General features: G+C 51.5%; 1 protein-coding gene and 1 long non-coding RNA gene across 20 annotated transcripts in view, besides 3 other annotated features; one reads left to right on the forward strand and one right to left on the reverse strand.

The window, feature by feature from the left end:
• Window positions 1-14716, forward strand: part of PCBP3 (poly(rC) binding protein 3) — a 298726-nt gene that overhangs the window by 182403 nt on the left and 101607 nt on the right.
• PCBP3-AS1 (PCBP3 antisense RNA 1) lies at window positions 1714-10292 on the reverse strand. Its single transcript, NR_038876.1, has 3 exons — window positions 10159-10292; window positions 6481-6531; window positions 1714-5114 (listed from the first exon to the last, which is right to left on the reverse strand). It is a non-coding gene; the product is annotated as a PCBP3 antisense RNA 1 (long non-coding RNA).
• Window positions 6675-6875: a silencer, noted in NCBI's record as "peak4427 fragment used in MPRA reporter construct". NCBI's record gives its function as "represses an SCP1 promoter by STARR-seq MPRAs in K562 erythroleukemia cells {active_cell/tissue: K562}" and the evidence as "EXISTENCE:reporter gene assay evidence [ECO:0000049][PMID:32103011]".
• Window positions 9398-9905: an enhancer, noted in NCBI's record as "H3K27ac-H3K4me1 hESC enhancer chr21:47255439-47255946 (GRCh37/hg19 assembly coordinates)". NCBI's record gives its function as "activates a minimal SCP1, AML or CMV promoter by ChIP-STARR-seq in naive H9 embryonic stem cells {active_cell/tissue: H9 hESC(naive)}" and the evidence as "EXISTENCE:reporter gene assay evidence [ECO:0000049][PMID:30033119]".
• Window positions 10976-11519: an enhancer, noted in NCBI's record as "H3K27ac-H3K4me1 hESC enhancer chr21:47257017-47257560 (GRCh37/hg19 assembly coordinates)". NCBI's record gives its function as "activates a minimal SCP1, AML or CMV promoter by ChIP-STARR-seq in primed H9 embryonic stem cells {active_cell/tissue: H9 hESC(primed)}" and the evidence as "EXISTENCE:reporter gene assay evidence [ECO:0000049][PMID:30033119]".

Raw genomic sequence — 14716 nt, forward strand, 5'->3', positions numbered from 1 at the left:
CATGCCTGTAATCCCAGCTACTCGGGAGGCTGAGGCAGGAGAACTGCTGGAACCCGGGAGGTGGAGGTTGTGGTGAGCCGAGATTGCGGCATTGCACTCCAGCCTGGGCAACAAGAGTGAAACTCTGTCTCAAAAAAAAAAAAAAATTAAATTAAATAAAGCAGTGAGAATGAGACAAGTCCAGGTGTCATGTTACCTCAATGCATTTGAACGGTTCAACTTTCCTGTTAAAAGACAGGCACAAGAGCTGCTCTGATCCACATAACGCAGGTGAATGTGAGGATAACTACACTCAGTGAAAGAAGCTTGACATGAATGAGTCTAAACTCTGATTTCACGCATGCAAAATTCTAGGTGTGTGAAGTACTCTGTGGTGACGTGAAGCAGATGCGTGGCCTTCAGCTTTTAGGAGGATGGAGTCAGGGTGCCTTCCCTGTCCTCCCCACCAGGCATGACAAAGGTGCTGGGTATTTTATATAAAACATGCATAAAAGATTCTGAAAGGTGGGAAGAAGAAGGCCAGCCAGCCACATACCTCAGGACCCATGGGACGACATGGTGGTGAGTTCCCTGGGTCATTTGTTCCAGATGGGGCACTGGACAAGTCAGAAAACTGGAAACGCCAGTGGGTACAGGCAAAAAGCAAACAAGAAAATAAAATTCTAACAAACTCTGTTCTCTCTAACCAGAGGAGGAGGAAAGGGGCAGCCTAGCCGGACAGAACAAAACGTGCTCTGCCTTGGCCAGACCTCCCCAAAACTGTGGCCACAGCCTCCCCCGAGTCAGGAAAGGCCAAGTGGAGAGTTGAGGCTTCTGCTTGTACCCACCCGTGTCAAGGTGCTCCAGTCCACACCATGGGGGCATCAAGGAGGCTGACAGGGACACGTACTCCCAGCTGAGCCAGGGAGCATCAGGGAGGCTGATGGGGACATGTACTCCCAGCTGAGCCAGGCTCTCAAGAGCGCTCCCCACTCCCGCGTCCCTGGGGACCACACGGGGACTGGAGCTCCCTACCTGCTCAGGATCTCCTTCCCATTTGGGCATCAGCTGAGGGACAAGGAGCCCTTCCCATCTGGGCATCAGCTGAGGCCAGGGGCGGAACCTAGATGCCTCTTCTAACCTGGCGGCAATGAGGCAGCACACCTCTGCCCCCGCTGCGATGGTGTCGGAGGAGGCCGGTGAAAATGAGATAAAAGAAGATCTGGACATGATCATCACGTCACATCACATGGCCAGGTTTCAACTGCAGGTCCTCACACACGCCAAGAACCAGGAAGACTCCAGTTCAGCTGACAAAAGGCAATCGACAGACACCAACACCAACACCCAGATGACATGGGCACCGAAGTTACCCAACAGGGCTTTTAAAAAAGACATCATAAAGATGCTTCAGTGAGCCGTCACCAGCTCTACACAGTGAGGAAGTGGAAAGTCTCAGCCAAGCGAAGACGGAGGGCCAACCAAGTCGAGGTTTCAGAACTGAAAGTACAGCCACCAGAATTTAGAAATTCACATTGTACACTGTGATGTATGCAGTTTTATGTACATCAGTTACATCTCAGCCAAGCTGTTAATAAGCAGAACTCAGGGTCCCAGGGAAGTCCAAGGACTCACTCTTCATGAGACCTCAATTAAAAGACCCAGAAAGTTTAAAATGAAAGAGATGGAGGAGTTGCCAGATTCATACCAACAGGAGAAAGAAAATTTGGAACTAACCTGGCCAGGAAAGTGGGCTGAGACTTTGTGCTGCTGGTGCTGCTGTCTGGGAAGGAGGCAGAGCAGCTCTGAGGGGCTTGGGGAGGCTGTAGTAATGAAAGGTCCTCAGATGCCAGTGGCTGATACATAGACAAGTTTATTTCCTGTTCACCTGTGTCAGCTGTGGCTCTTGTCTTCAACCCCTTCCCAAGCAACTAGTGCAGTCCCCATCTGGAGTGTCGTTGGTGTTGGAGCAGAGCAGTGAGAGCACAGACAACCACCCGCAGGACGGGAGTTATTCTTCCCACAAGAGACGCCAACTGGCCAAGACTTCAGGGGGTGGGAAGTGTAGGCCTCTCCCAGGGACAGGCAGTGAATATGCATGAGCAGTAATTCAGTCACCATCATTTGCCCTTCTGGTCACAAATATTTGCTTCCCAGCTTTCCCCATGCAAAATAAACCCTACCCAAGGAAGATGGCCCCAAAGTCTGGTCCCTTCATGGCACCAGGCTTAATGCCCAGACTCTTAATACGGTGAGTTACTCTCGCTCTGGATCTGCCCCCTCGTGCTCTGGAAACCTGAGCCGAGAAGCTGCCCACTGCCCTCCCACCCCAGTATACATGGGTGGGATCAGTTCGCAACAACTTGAACCAGCCGCACTTTCCAGTGGAGCTGAAATGGGAAATGCTGGGCACTCCTGCAGCCCAGCCCTGCTGAAAGTCTGCTGGGCACATGCAGGAGCCTCCCCGCAGGCTGGGAGTCCCTCCCGTCCTCCATCCCTGTCATTCCTGTATCCTCTGGAGCAGGTGCCGGCATTTCCATGAAAGGCGGATGGTAAATACTCAGGCTGGGTGGGCTCTGTGCTGTGTGTCCGTTGTGTGCAACTCAAAGGTGCCTGCTCGGCTTTCCTCCTTGGCCACAGGGAAGTGGGCCTGGGAGAGTGTGTGTCCCTGGAGGCAGAGTGGCCTCTCCGCCCCGCAGCCCGTCGCACGCTTGACTTCTGGTCCCTCAGGAGGCAGCCTGCTCTGAGTACCCACGGTCATGCCCAGGCTCCTTTGGGGGCTGGATGGAGGAGCTCCACCTCTGTCCCCGTGCCCCCTAGCAGCTCTGCCCAACTGGAAGCCTTGTGCCAGCGGTGTGGACAGAAGGTGTTGTGTCTGACTTGTGTCTTCCCACATTTCACAGGTCGAACTTACCAGGTGAAGCTGGATTACTTCCCGGCCTCCTTATAATGGAAAGAGCTAGTGTAGGAGCTGGGACAGGGATGGAAGGGCCATTGGCCGAGTTTGAGATGGCATTTCACAACTCCAGGGTGCCACGGTTTCACAACTCCAGAGCAGGGGTATAAGCCTGTCCTCTGCTGCTCTGGGCCAGGGCTCTGGATGGGCCCCACGTGGTGGGGGCCTTCAGATTCTCTGAGATTCAAAGCTCTTTGGAGAGAGGACACTTTGCTGGGGAGAAGGTGCGTGGTCCATTTCTCCAGGAGTCCGTGGCTTCTGCAATTGTGAGCTGCTGTCCTCATCGAACACCCTCAGCACACTGGCATAGCTCCCTGCACAGGGAGCCCGGGACCAGGCAGAGGGTGCTGGGCAGAACCCCTTCCCGCTGGGCCTCTCTTTGGCATTCCTCCTCTCTCTCCTCGGCATTCCTTCTCTGGGCCTGGCTTTAGAGTGTCCCAGTGTCTCTTGCAGTGTTTTCTGAACATTTTGTGGCCTAGCGGTACCAGGACGGTTCTTTTAGACACTCGTAAGAAGCCAAGCCACAGGAAGCTACTTTCCTTGTGCAAATCCTGGGTTACTGGGTTTCCTCACCCCAGACCCCACCTGAAGAGCAAAGTTCTGAAGGACAAGTGGCTGTTAATGCCGTGCAGCTGGCTACACCCGGTGCGAAGGGAATCCCCGCTGTTCCTCCACAGGCTGCCCAGGCACCCTGCAGGGCCCTCCCCACCTGCCCCCCAGGCTCATACATTTGTCCCACTTGAAGCGGGGAGGCCTGGTTCCCCTGACATTCTGCTGCCAGGAAGATGCAGCTCTAGGGCAGTGCAGGCATGTTCTTCAAGTGGGCCCTCATCCTGGCAATCTCACCATGCCATGGCAACTGCCAGTAACCTCAGCTTTCACCCACCAGCCTGAGACCAGCTTCTGCTGCCCTGCTGCGATCGCTGTGGTCTCCACCTTAGTTTGGGGCCTGCCTGCTCAGCAGGGTAGTGGCCTCCCTGGGCCTCCAAGAGCCATGTTTCCCTAGGCAAGTAGGAGGCTGTGGCCCCAAGGGGATGGAGGAAGCCTTCCCCTGACCCTTTTGGGGGCATGCAGTACATGTGGGCCCTGCAACCCTAGACCAGTCTCCAGGCAGGGCAAATGGCCCCTCTGTGCCCCATAGCCTCGTCCTAACATACGTGCAAATGTGCACTGTGGAGACCACTCCTGCCCCTACCCTGGGAGCCTGAGCCCCACCAACGGCACTGGCTCTGCAGGGAGCCCCTCTTTCCTGCACAGTGCAGGCATCTCCTCTTAGGCCGCTCCTCTGAGCCCCTCCATGGGAGGATCGTGAACACATAGCCTTTCAGAGGCCTCTATAATGCGCCGAGCAGTTGTGTCACTGAACGTGAAGAGGAGACCTGCCAGACTATGGACAGCAGGCTCGCTGGGAGAGCAGGGTGGAGTGAGGCCACTGACGCGGGAGCCCTGCTGTGGGGGGTGTGTGCGCATGCTCAGCACAGCCTAGGGCAGGGCTTCTAGTGCAGGCAGCGCAGCACCTGGCTCTGGAGGCCAGTGAAGGGAGGGAAGAAAGCCTGGACCAGGAGGACACCAAGGACTGCCCCTGGGACAGCAGCCGCCCCTTTCCACCCCTTCCCCACTGCCTGGGTTGGTGAAATGGTAGAAGCTCTTCTCTAATTAAATGCTCATCCTTACGTAAATCATAGCTTTAATAAATTAATCAATGGTTTGGGAATTGGGTATACGAACATTTATAAGCCAGTATTATGATGCCGAAAATGTTTCATGATGAGGCCTTCCCAGAAAGGCGGGGAATCGAGAGTGACGTAGTCACCCTCCACCTTTGTCCCTGCTGTCTATGAAGAAGGAGTGCTGTGCCCTCTGCCCTCCTCTCCCGGGCTCTTGGCAGCTTCCCGGCCGGCAGCAGTCCCCACGCTGCCCAGGCGGAGCAGCCCCTCTGCCCCCCACTCTGGAGCTGAAGCCAGTTTTCTCAACGAGTGTCTCTGGAGTCTGTCCTGCCCTCCTGCTGGCTTGTTCTTCTCTCCTGGCCTCAAGGAAAGGCCTCCTGACTTGCCTCCCTGCAGCTGGCTCTGCTCCGAGGGCCCTGATCACAGGCTCACTGAGGTGTCTGTCCAGGCCATGAGGCTGGCTAGCTCCAGGCAGATCCTCCGCTCACTCCTCGGGGCGGCGCCGGCTGTCTCTACAAAAAAATATAAAAATTAGCTGGGTGTGTGGCATGCGCCTGTAATCCAGACTACCTAGCAGGCTGAGGTGGGAGGATCGCTTGAGCCCAGGAGGTGCAGGTTGGAGTGAGCCAAGATCACGCCACTGCTGTCCAGCCAGGGCAACAGAGTTAGATGCTGTCTCAAAAAAAAAAAAAAAAAAAAAATCAAAACTGATAAACAACTTAGGGAATTAATGGAAGAAAACATGAAAATTTGATGTGCATATAGATGGTGAGGTCTGTTGTTGAAAGTTTGGTTCTCAGCAGGATTTTCTAAAGAATTTCATAGCTTTTCAACCTGAATTGTGCTGTATTCCATACACTGGAAAGCACTGCACTGGTCATGTTACTGGAAGGGGGTCCCGATCCAGACTCCGAGAGAGGGGTCTTGAATCTCACACAAGAAAGAATTCAGGGCAAGTCCATAAAGTGAAAGCAAGTTAGTTAGTTAGTTTGTTTATTTTAGACAGAGTTTCGCTCTGTCGCCCAGGCTGGAGTGCAGTGGCGCAAATGTGGCTCACTGCAACTTCCACCTCCCGGGTTCAAGTGATTCTCCTGCCTCAGCCTCCTGAGTAGCTGGGATTACAGGCATGTGCCAGGATGCCTGGCTAATTTTTGTATTTTTAGTAGAGACAGGATTTCATAATGTTGGCCAGGATGGTCTCGAATTCCTGACCTCATGTGATCCTACCACCTCGGCCTCCCAAAGTGCTGGAATTACAGGTGTGAGCCACCGCAGCCAGCCAAAGCAAGTAGATTAAGAAGGTAAAGGGATAAAGAATGGCTACTTCATACGCAGAGCAGCCCCGAGGGCTGCTGGTGCCCATTTTTATGGTTCTTGATTGTATACTAAACAAAGGGGGGATTATTCATGAGTGTTCTGGGAAAGGCATGCGCAATTCCTGGAGCTGAGGGGATTTTACACCATACGGTAACTTCCTGATGTTGCCATGGCATTTGTAAACTGTTATGGTGCTGGTGAGAGTGTAGCAGTGAGGACGACCAGAGGTCACGCTCATCTCCATCTTAGTTTTGGTGGGGTTTGGCCAACTTTTTTACTGCAACCTGTTTTATCAGCAGGGTCTTTATGACCCTGTATCTTGTGCTGACCTCCTATCTCATCCCAAGACTTAGAATGCTTAACCATCTGGGAATGCAGCCCAACAGGTCTCAGCCTTATTTTACCCAGCCCTTACTCAAGATGTAGTCACTCTGCCAAACGCCTCTGAGTGTCAGAACTTCAGCTTTGGGAAATTGACCATTCTCAGCTGTGCAGCCACCCCGGGACCCCACACCTACATCATGTTGACAATAAGTCCCACCCCCGTGGCCCCGTGCTGACCTCGTGTTCTCCAGTGAGTGAGTCGTGGCTTCCTCCTGACATTGAGCACTCCTGGGAGCAAGAGAAGAAACAAATTTGGCAGATGGAGCTTAACAAATGCAGCTGTATTAGTTCGTTTTCACACTGCTATAAAGACATACCCAAGATTGGGTAATTTATAAAGGAAAGAGGTTTAATTGACTCATAGTTCCACATGGCTGGGGAGGCCTCAGGAAACTTAGAATCATGACAGAAGCCAAAGGGGAAGCAAGCACCTTCTTCACAAGGCGGCAGGAGAGAGAAGTGTGGGCGAAGGAGGAACTTGCCAGACAAAACCATCAGATCTCGTGAGAACTCGCTATCATGAGAACGGTATGGTGGAAACTGCCCCCATGATCCAATCACCTCCCGCCAGGTCCCTCAACACGTGGGGATTGTGGGAATTACAATTCAAGATGAGATTTGGGTGGAGACACAGCCAAACCATATCAGCAGCCAGCGAGGCTCTCTGTGGGCAGCTGTGGGCACACCCAAGGGAAGGAGTGGGCACCCCCATCCAGCAGACGGAGACACGGCCTCAGGCCATGGGCAGGCAGGAGATACCCCCACCTCGCGGTTATTAAATAACTATGTTACATAGTAACTGTGGGGCAGTAGGGCTTTCATTCATCAATATGTAGCATTTTTATGTTCACAGTTTTGGACTTTGCTTGCGGGTTACTTAATGCCATCAGATGGAAAGCTGAGAGAAAGCCTGTGGCCCCCCAGGCATCTCTGTAAAGAAGGCAATGCCAAGCTGAGGGTTGCTTCCCAGGCCTCACAACAGCACAACCTTAGAACCTAAAAAATCCAGCATGCTACTTGTGCATGCCAGGCTCAGAACTTTCCCACGTTGGCCCCTGGCAGCTTATTCACAAAGACTGTCTGGTTCCAGCCAACTGCCGAGGTGCTGCCCATGTCAGGAGAGTGGGTGGAGGAGGGGAGAAGGGCTTCTCAGGACAGAGGGTGTTTCTGCTTCACCAGGATTCCAGACACGGGCCACCCCCCTGAGCACGACTGGATGGTGCCCAGGCCTAGTGTATGCGCCCATGAATGTGAGTGGCCAGTGCCAGTGGCAGAGGCCAGGCCTAAGGGGCTAAGAGCTCTGGAAGGATTGTCTGTTTCTGGGCAGACCACAGGTGGCTGCTGTGGCCCCATGCAGGGCAGGGTCACGGAGGGACCACCTTGCTGGGAGGAGCTTGCAGTCCTGCCTGCCTGGGCAGGAGCTCAGGGAACACCTGACTCCCTTTTAAAGTCATAAAATCATATTTGAATATGAAATCTTCTGTTTTTTTAAATGTTGGAAACAAATTTGGACCATGTTGGCGATTGACTCACCTGTGCTTGTCACCACCTCTGAGGATGGCGTGGATGTTATCTGGTCACCAGAAGGAAAGCCAAGCACAGGGAAGGCTGGGGGCTGAGCCAGGACATGTCCTGGGTAGGGAAGGGAGGAGCTGGGCTGGCCAGCACCCCCACAGGCTGAGACTGCCACCGATTCACGAGTCCACGGGGCCCAGGAGTCTGGGTCTACGTGGAAGTTGTCAAGGGCCCAGACTCCAAGCAAGGCCAGGCCAAGCAGGCCTCTCAGGAAGATGCCGCACAGTGCCTGGAGCCCGGCTGGCAGCTTCTTTTCCTGGCAGTGTCGTGTCCTGTCACCAGCCGTCAGAGCGCCCTCCGACCAGGGCGCGTGTTAGAGCAGGGACTGGAAGTTGTGAATGAATGACTAAATGCTTTCCTAGAGGCTGACCGAAATTTGTGATTAGCTAGGATGTCCATTTCCAAGGCACAGCATGTGCTGTGACTGTCTAGGGGTGGCGTCCCCATGCAGCTTGTGCTTTGGGAGGGGCCAGCTGCCTCCTCGCCACTGCCCAGCATAGCTTGTCCCCGTGCCCGCCAAAGAGGTCCTCGTGCTGGCCTCACAACAGAAGACGGCCACAGCCCTGCTCTCCCCAGGCCACCACGTCCACGAGTGCTGCACTGTGAGGGTGCAGCCCAGCGCCTCAGAGGCAGCAGCACCTGTGAGATGGCGTGCAGATGGAAGTAGGCCAATAGACTCCAAAGGAAGCACCACTGAAAAATCAGAGGCGTCTCTCAGAGGGGGCCCACGAGGGAGGTGGTATGAAAGGTTTTTAAAAGGACAAAGCAGACTTCGGAGCTGCCTCTAGAGGAGAGCAGCAGGTGAGTTCCGAGTTCACCTGGCACGCTTTTCGGCAGAGCCCAGGAATGCCCACTTCTGAGCGCTGAGTGCACAACCCAGCTCGGGAGGCCTGCGGCAGCAGGAATGGGGAGGCACCGTGAGTCCCTCAAAGCGCTGCTGGAAATGTCACTCTGCGCGGTGTCCACCCGTGCTCGGGGTGGGCAGCGCCACTGAATGACGCGGGCAGCTTGGGAGGCCGGTTCGCGAACGCCGCAGCAGCCTCTGCTGACACGGGGGCTGCTCCCCACTCACAGAGCCACAGGTTCCTGTGGGTTCATTTATGAGGATGTAGGAATCATAGGAGTTAGGTACATCTTTTCCTGAGGTGAGAGCCAGATGAGGGGAGCCAAGACAGAGAATAGCCCACGTCTGCCCTGGGCCCCGGGGGCGGGGCCTACACAGGCTCCCAGGAGTGTGGGTGGGGCCTGTTTAAACTTCATGCCCCGGGACCTGCCTGGGAGCCTCCTGCACAAGACTCGCCCCACTCCGGAGGCTTAGCAGCACCGGAGCTGCTCTGTGGCCTGTTGGCAGAGAGGAGTCTGGTGCTCCTGTGCACGGGGGTCACAGCAAAGCCAAGTGGCCGTAGCACCTTTAACACTGGCCCCGGGTCTCTACACCTCCCTGCCGGCCGTCAGCTCCTGGCCGCAGCCGGCACTGACCTGGAGCACCTTAAGGAGCCCCTCTGCAAGTCCCTGTGCATCTGAGAGGTCAGAGAGGCAGAAACACAGTTCCAGGGTTCAAACCTAATATGCCTCAGCATTCTGGGCACTCACATGGTGTGCTGGGCCTGTCCTGCCACATGGCCCCTGCGTGAGGAAGACAGAGCCTGGGCGTGGCCCCACATCCCTGTGAGCTGCCCATGGGCCTGGACCCTGGCTCTGGCAGACTAGGCTGCATAGCAGATCAGCTTCTCCTGAGCCATTTTCATCCAGGCCACACCTGCCAGCTTGGGCCAGGGACAGGCAGACCCTGGGCCCAGGGTCTTGAGCTTGACCCGCAGGAGGTCTGGGCCTTATGCCCTGGGGAGAGGAGAGCGCAGAAAGCCAGTGTCACGGCAGCCCCAGGGGAACAGGCCCCAGGCCTGGCGGGGTCTGGATCTCAGTTCCACAGGGGAAGCTGTGGCCGCAGGCATGGTAACCTCACCAAACAAAAAGCTGCCCATCTTTCAGAATATGAGCAAGAAGTTTGTGAGTCCTTGATCACCAGAGGGGCAACGTGGGGCCCGAGATGACAAGGAGTCCAGGCCACCCACAGTAGCTCCTCCTTCAGCCTTACAGAGGGGCTGCCTGGTCTGCTTTCCTGGCCGTGGGTTGCCCCTCTCTGGGGGCCGATGTCAGCAGACCTGTGGGGGATACAAACAGAAGGAACCTTGGACCCCTTCCTGGTACCTCCTTACTCATCTGATTCAAACCCTCCCAATTCTGCCTCCAAAGTGGACCCTGACTCTCCCCAGTCCTTACCGTCCAGTCTCCAAGACCAGTCCACCCAGGGAGCGGCCAGAAGACAGCCCACCTGCGCCAGGCCTGTGTGTGCCTTTCCTGGCATCTGGAATGGGGTTTGGTGCTTGCTGCCTGTAGCCAGGCCTGCTGGTCATGCCTTCCTGCCCTGCTGGGCCTCATCTCCGTGACAACGTCTTGGCCTTCCTGCCATCCTTTGTAAGTGCTGCCTGGTCTGGGATCACGTGTGCCGGCTCCTCTGCTTGCAGTACTTGGCTGCACTTCCCAGTATATTCGTTAAAATGTTGTGACATGAGAATTAGCATATGACACGTACGTAACGTGAGCTGCGGAGCATAGCTTTCTCATGAACAGCCGTGACCCCAGGACCAGGCTAAGCGAGATGACCCATGCTGCCGTGGGTGCTTCCTCTTCTTTACCGTGATCCTGCATTTTGTTTTCTCATCTCTTCTCTTTAAAATAATTTTATTTTATTACACATGATTGCTTGTTTCTGAACTCTTAGAAAGTGACATCAGTCCCTACATAGACTTCCCAAACCTGTTCTGTTTAGTCACACACAAGGTGTCTTAGGTTGGTATGTGTTTCTGGGCAGAGCTGCAGTTTGTGTGCCTGGCTGCATAGTGTTCCAGTGTGTGAATAGGCATCATTTATTTGTTTTTCCAGCAGGGTCATGCGGCTCGCTTGCCATTGTGAGTGATGCTTCCGTGGACATTCCTGTGTGTTTCTTTTGGTGCACACATGAGGTGTTTTTGGTTTAAGGAAGTGGAATTGCTGCATCATAAAGTCTGTGAAAGGTGAACTTTCAGGAACTTTCAGGACCATGTCAGTTTTTGTTTCAAAGCGCGGGTACCAATTCCCATCCCCCAGCAGCGTGTTAGCGCCACGGATGATCTACAGTCCACCAACATTCTGAATGTTTGCCAATGCAGTGAATGTAAATAACGTTTCACTGTGGTCTGTATCTCCCGTTCCACATGCTCTTGTGCTGTGACTTTGATGCACCTCCCGCCAGGGAGGGGATCGTGACCCTCCCTTTAATCTGGGCAGGCATGTGCCTCCAGCGGAAATGATGTTATGTGACATCTGTGTGCAAGCCACAGGCAGCAGCACAGCGCTGCAGAGCTCCCAGGATGCTGGCTCTTGGAGCCTAGGGATGGCGCTGTGAGAACAGGCCACGGCGCCCTAGCTTCAGGTTATAGGGCATGGCTACGTGCCTGTGGAAATTCTCCTGCGGGCGGTTTCATGTCGAAGGCCTACCTGTAGCCCTGGGTTGTCTGCCTCTTGGGGGTAGCGGCTGTGTGGAATGCCTGCGTTCTGGATTTGGCTGGCTGCCTCCTCTGGCATGGTGCAGAGCCCACCTGCAACCCCATATTTGCCCTGGTAGGTCTGAGGTGCGATTCCACTCAGATTTATTTTTCCTGTGAGGCGAGCGAGCTTCCTAGGTGGCACTGCACGTTGCACCGCATGGCATGATGAGGCGTGTGGTCTGGCCGCTCCTTCACTGGTGCTGAGACTGAGGATTGAGCTTAGGGGGTCAGCCTGATCCGCCACTGCTGGGTTCCCCACCAGCCTTGCAGCTTGCTGTCAATATTCATTGATGGTCATTGCCTGGATGCAGTACACATTAGGGGCTGCAGAACGGTGATTTTCTAATTGTGTTGTTCTTTCTGTACTTATTAGTTGGGATTCATCTATGTGGAATAACGTTTGCCTCATCCACTAGGGCTGTTTGGTTACCTAAACTATGGTTCATGCCAGAAAGGCAGGATAGATGCTTCATTCTTTGCACTCAGTTGTTCTCACTGCGATGAGTTGGTTTCTGGAAGCCCCAGTGTTGTCCTGTGAATTTGTGTCTTTCCCTGCTTTTCTCTCCCTGTGAAGCATCATTGTTAACTGGTGGATGTTATACACACAGTGGAGTTTGGCCAGTGCAGCTGCCATTTCTTTACTCAAACTGTTCTGTAGTTTTTGGGCTCCCCTCGCTTTCTGATGTAACCACATCAGTCTTGGATGGCTTTATTGCCTTCTGTCGTATGTGTTCCCACCTTACCTTTTATATTTTCTTCCACAGACCACCTGGAATCAAACTCTTTTGGGAGACCTGTTTTTGTTCTAATAATAATAATAATAATACTATTTGGGAAGTAGTATTTAGAGACCACAGCGTGAGTATTAGGAGTGCTTATTGCAATTGGGTTGTCATTGATTTTTTATAATTTAGTGAACAGAAATAAGAAATGTTTGTAATTTTAAAAGAAGAGAAAATTAAGATAAATATTTTTAAATCATATTTAAGATTACATTATTTTAACTTAAAAATTTAAAACTTATACTAGTTTTTCTTTTCTCTCATCATTACCATGATTACTTATTTGTTTTAGCCTAAGTAAATATATAACAGGTTTGGAGAATAATACCAATATTATGATTAATGACTAAATTTAGAGCAATATATTTCTTTGCACTTTTTTCTGTCTGTATAATATATTCCCTTGAGGATATGCAGTCAGATTCCTGTGTTTTAAGGTCAGTGCCTACAGTCCTTCTCTCTGTGGTTATAGCTTCAACTGAAATTCCTGCATTTGATTATGTAAAATACAAACATTTACATGATTCTAAAGTCAAAATTATTGCAAGGGCTATTCACAAAAGTCTCACTTTCCTCCCTTTCTCTCCATTCAGTTCCCTTCCTTCTCCTGTAAGTAGCTTTTAAGTTTTTTAATCTTTCCATTTTTTCTTTTCGAAAACATGAACAAATGTGTGCATACATGAATTCTTCAACTTAGTAAACTTTTCCTCCATGTTCATATTTCTTTTCACTTTTAGGAAGGTTTGTATTTTTTTTCTTGGCTTTATATTATCACTCTCTATATAATTCACATAAACCCCTCTTTTTACATAATTTCTATTGACTTACTGTTATAAGCAGTATTAAAATTAGCCAGAAGTCTCTTCTTCCTCCTCTCCCACTCCTAATTTTTGTTTGTTCTCCCACCTCTTCCTCCCATTTCATTAGTGTATTAACTTTATTTTAAGCACATTTAATGGTTACATATTATCCTGTCACCCTTAACTCCATCATTTAGTCCTAGTTCAGTAGTTAAATGTGTTTGACACTTACCACCATACCTTATGACAAAGCTTCTCCAATTATTTCGTGGTTGGCCCAACCCCATTTTATATTATGTTCTTCAGGATGGGCTCATCAGAAAAATATTTCCTGTGTTCTTGTGGAGTCATATCTTTTTATCTGTAGCCTTCACAGGAGAAAGGTAATTTGGCTTCATAAAATCCTTGGTTCACATTTTTCTCTTTAGTATCTTAAATATGTTGCTTTACGCCATGGTGATTCTGACTGTGTATAGGCCTACGCTAATGTGTGTGTTTATGTCTTAGTGTTGTTGTTGTTGTTTTTGAGATGGAGTCTCTCTCACTTTGTTGCCCAGGCTGGAGGGCAGTGGTACGAACTCGGCTCACTGCAGCCTCCGCTTCCCAGGTTCAAGCAGTTCTCCTGCCTCAGCCTCCCGAGTAGCTGGGATTGCAGGCGCCCGCCACCACACCTGGCTAATTTTTGTACTTTCAGTAGAGACGGGGTTTCACCATGTTGGTCAGCCTGGTCTCAAACTCCTGACCTCAAGTGATCCACCTGCCTCGGCCTCCCAAAGTGCTGGGATTACAGACATGAGCCACCACGCCTACCCCTGTGTCTTAGTTTTCAACCAAAAGTTTAAAAATAAAAGTATAACAATTTTAAGAATAGAAAGAAGCTTATAAAATAAAGATATAAAGAAAATATTTTGTGGTGCTGTACAATTTGTGTGTGTGTGTTTTAAGCTAAGTACTATAAAAAAATTTAAAAGTTTATAGAGTAAAAATGTTACAGTAGGCTGGGCACGGTGGCTCACTCCTGTAATCCCAGCACTTTGGGAGGCCGAGGTGGGCAGATCACAAGGTCAGGAGATCAAGACCATCGTGGCTAACATGGTGAAACCCTGTCTCTACTAAAAAAAAATTTTAAAAAATTAGCCAGGCATGGTGGCGGGCGCCTGTAGTCCCAGCTACTCAGGAGGCTGAGGCAGGAGAATGGTGTGAACCCGGGAGGCGGAGCTCGCAGTGAGCTGAGATTGCGCCACTGCACTCCAGCCTGGGTGACAGAGCGGGACCCTGTCTCAAAAAAAAAAAAAAAAAAAAGTTACAGTAAACTAATTTAATTTATTGAAGAAAGAAAAATATTTTCATAAAATTAGGATAACTTAAGTGTACAGTATCTCTAAAGTCTACAGTAGTCATCCTGTCCCAAGCCTTCATATTTACTCACCACTCACTCATGGACTCACCAGAGCAACTTCCAGTCCTGTGAGCTCCATTCATAATAAGTGCCCTAGACAGGTGTGCCATTTTATTATCGGCTCACTGCAGCCTTGACCTCCTGAGCTCAAGTGGTCTTCCCACCTTAGCTTCCTGAATAGCTGGCATGTGCCACCATGCCTGGCTAATTTTAAATTTTTTTGTAGCGCTGAGGTCTCCCTACATTCCCTAGGCTGGTCTCAAACTCCTA

The sequence above is a fragment of the Homo sapiens genome, chromosome 21 (assembly GCF_000001405.40).
Source record: "Homo sapiens chromosome 21, GRCh38.p14 Primary Assembly".
Taxonomy (NCBI): Eukaryota; Metazoa; Chordata; class Mammalia; order Primates; family Hominidae; genus Homo; species Homo sapiens.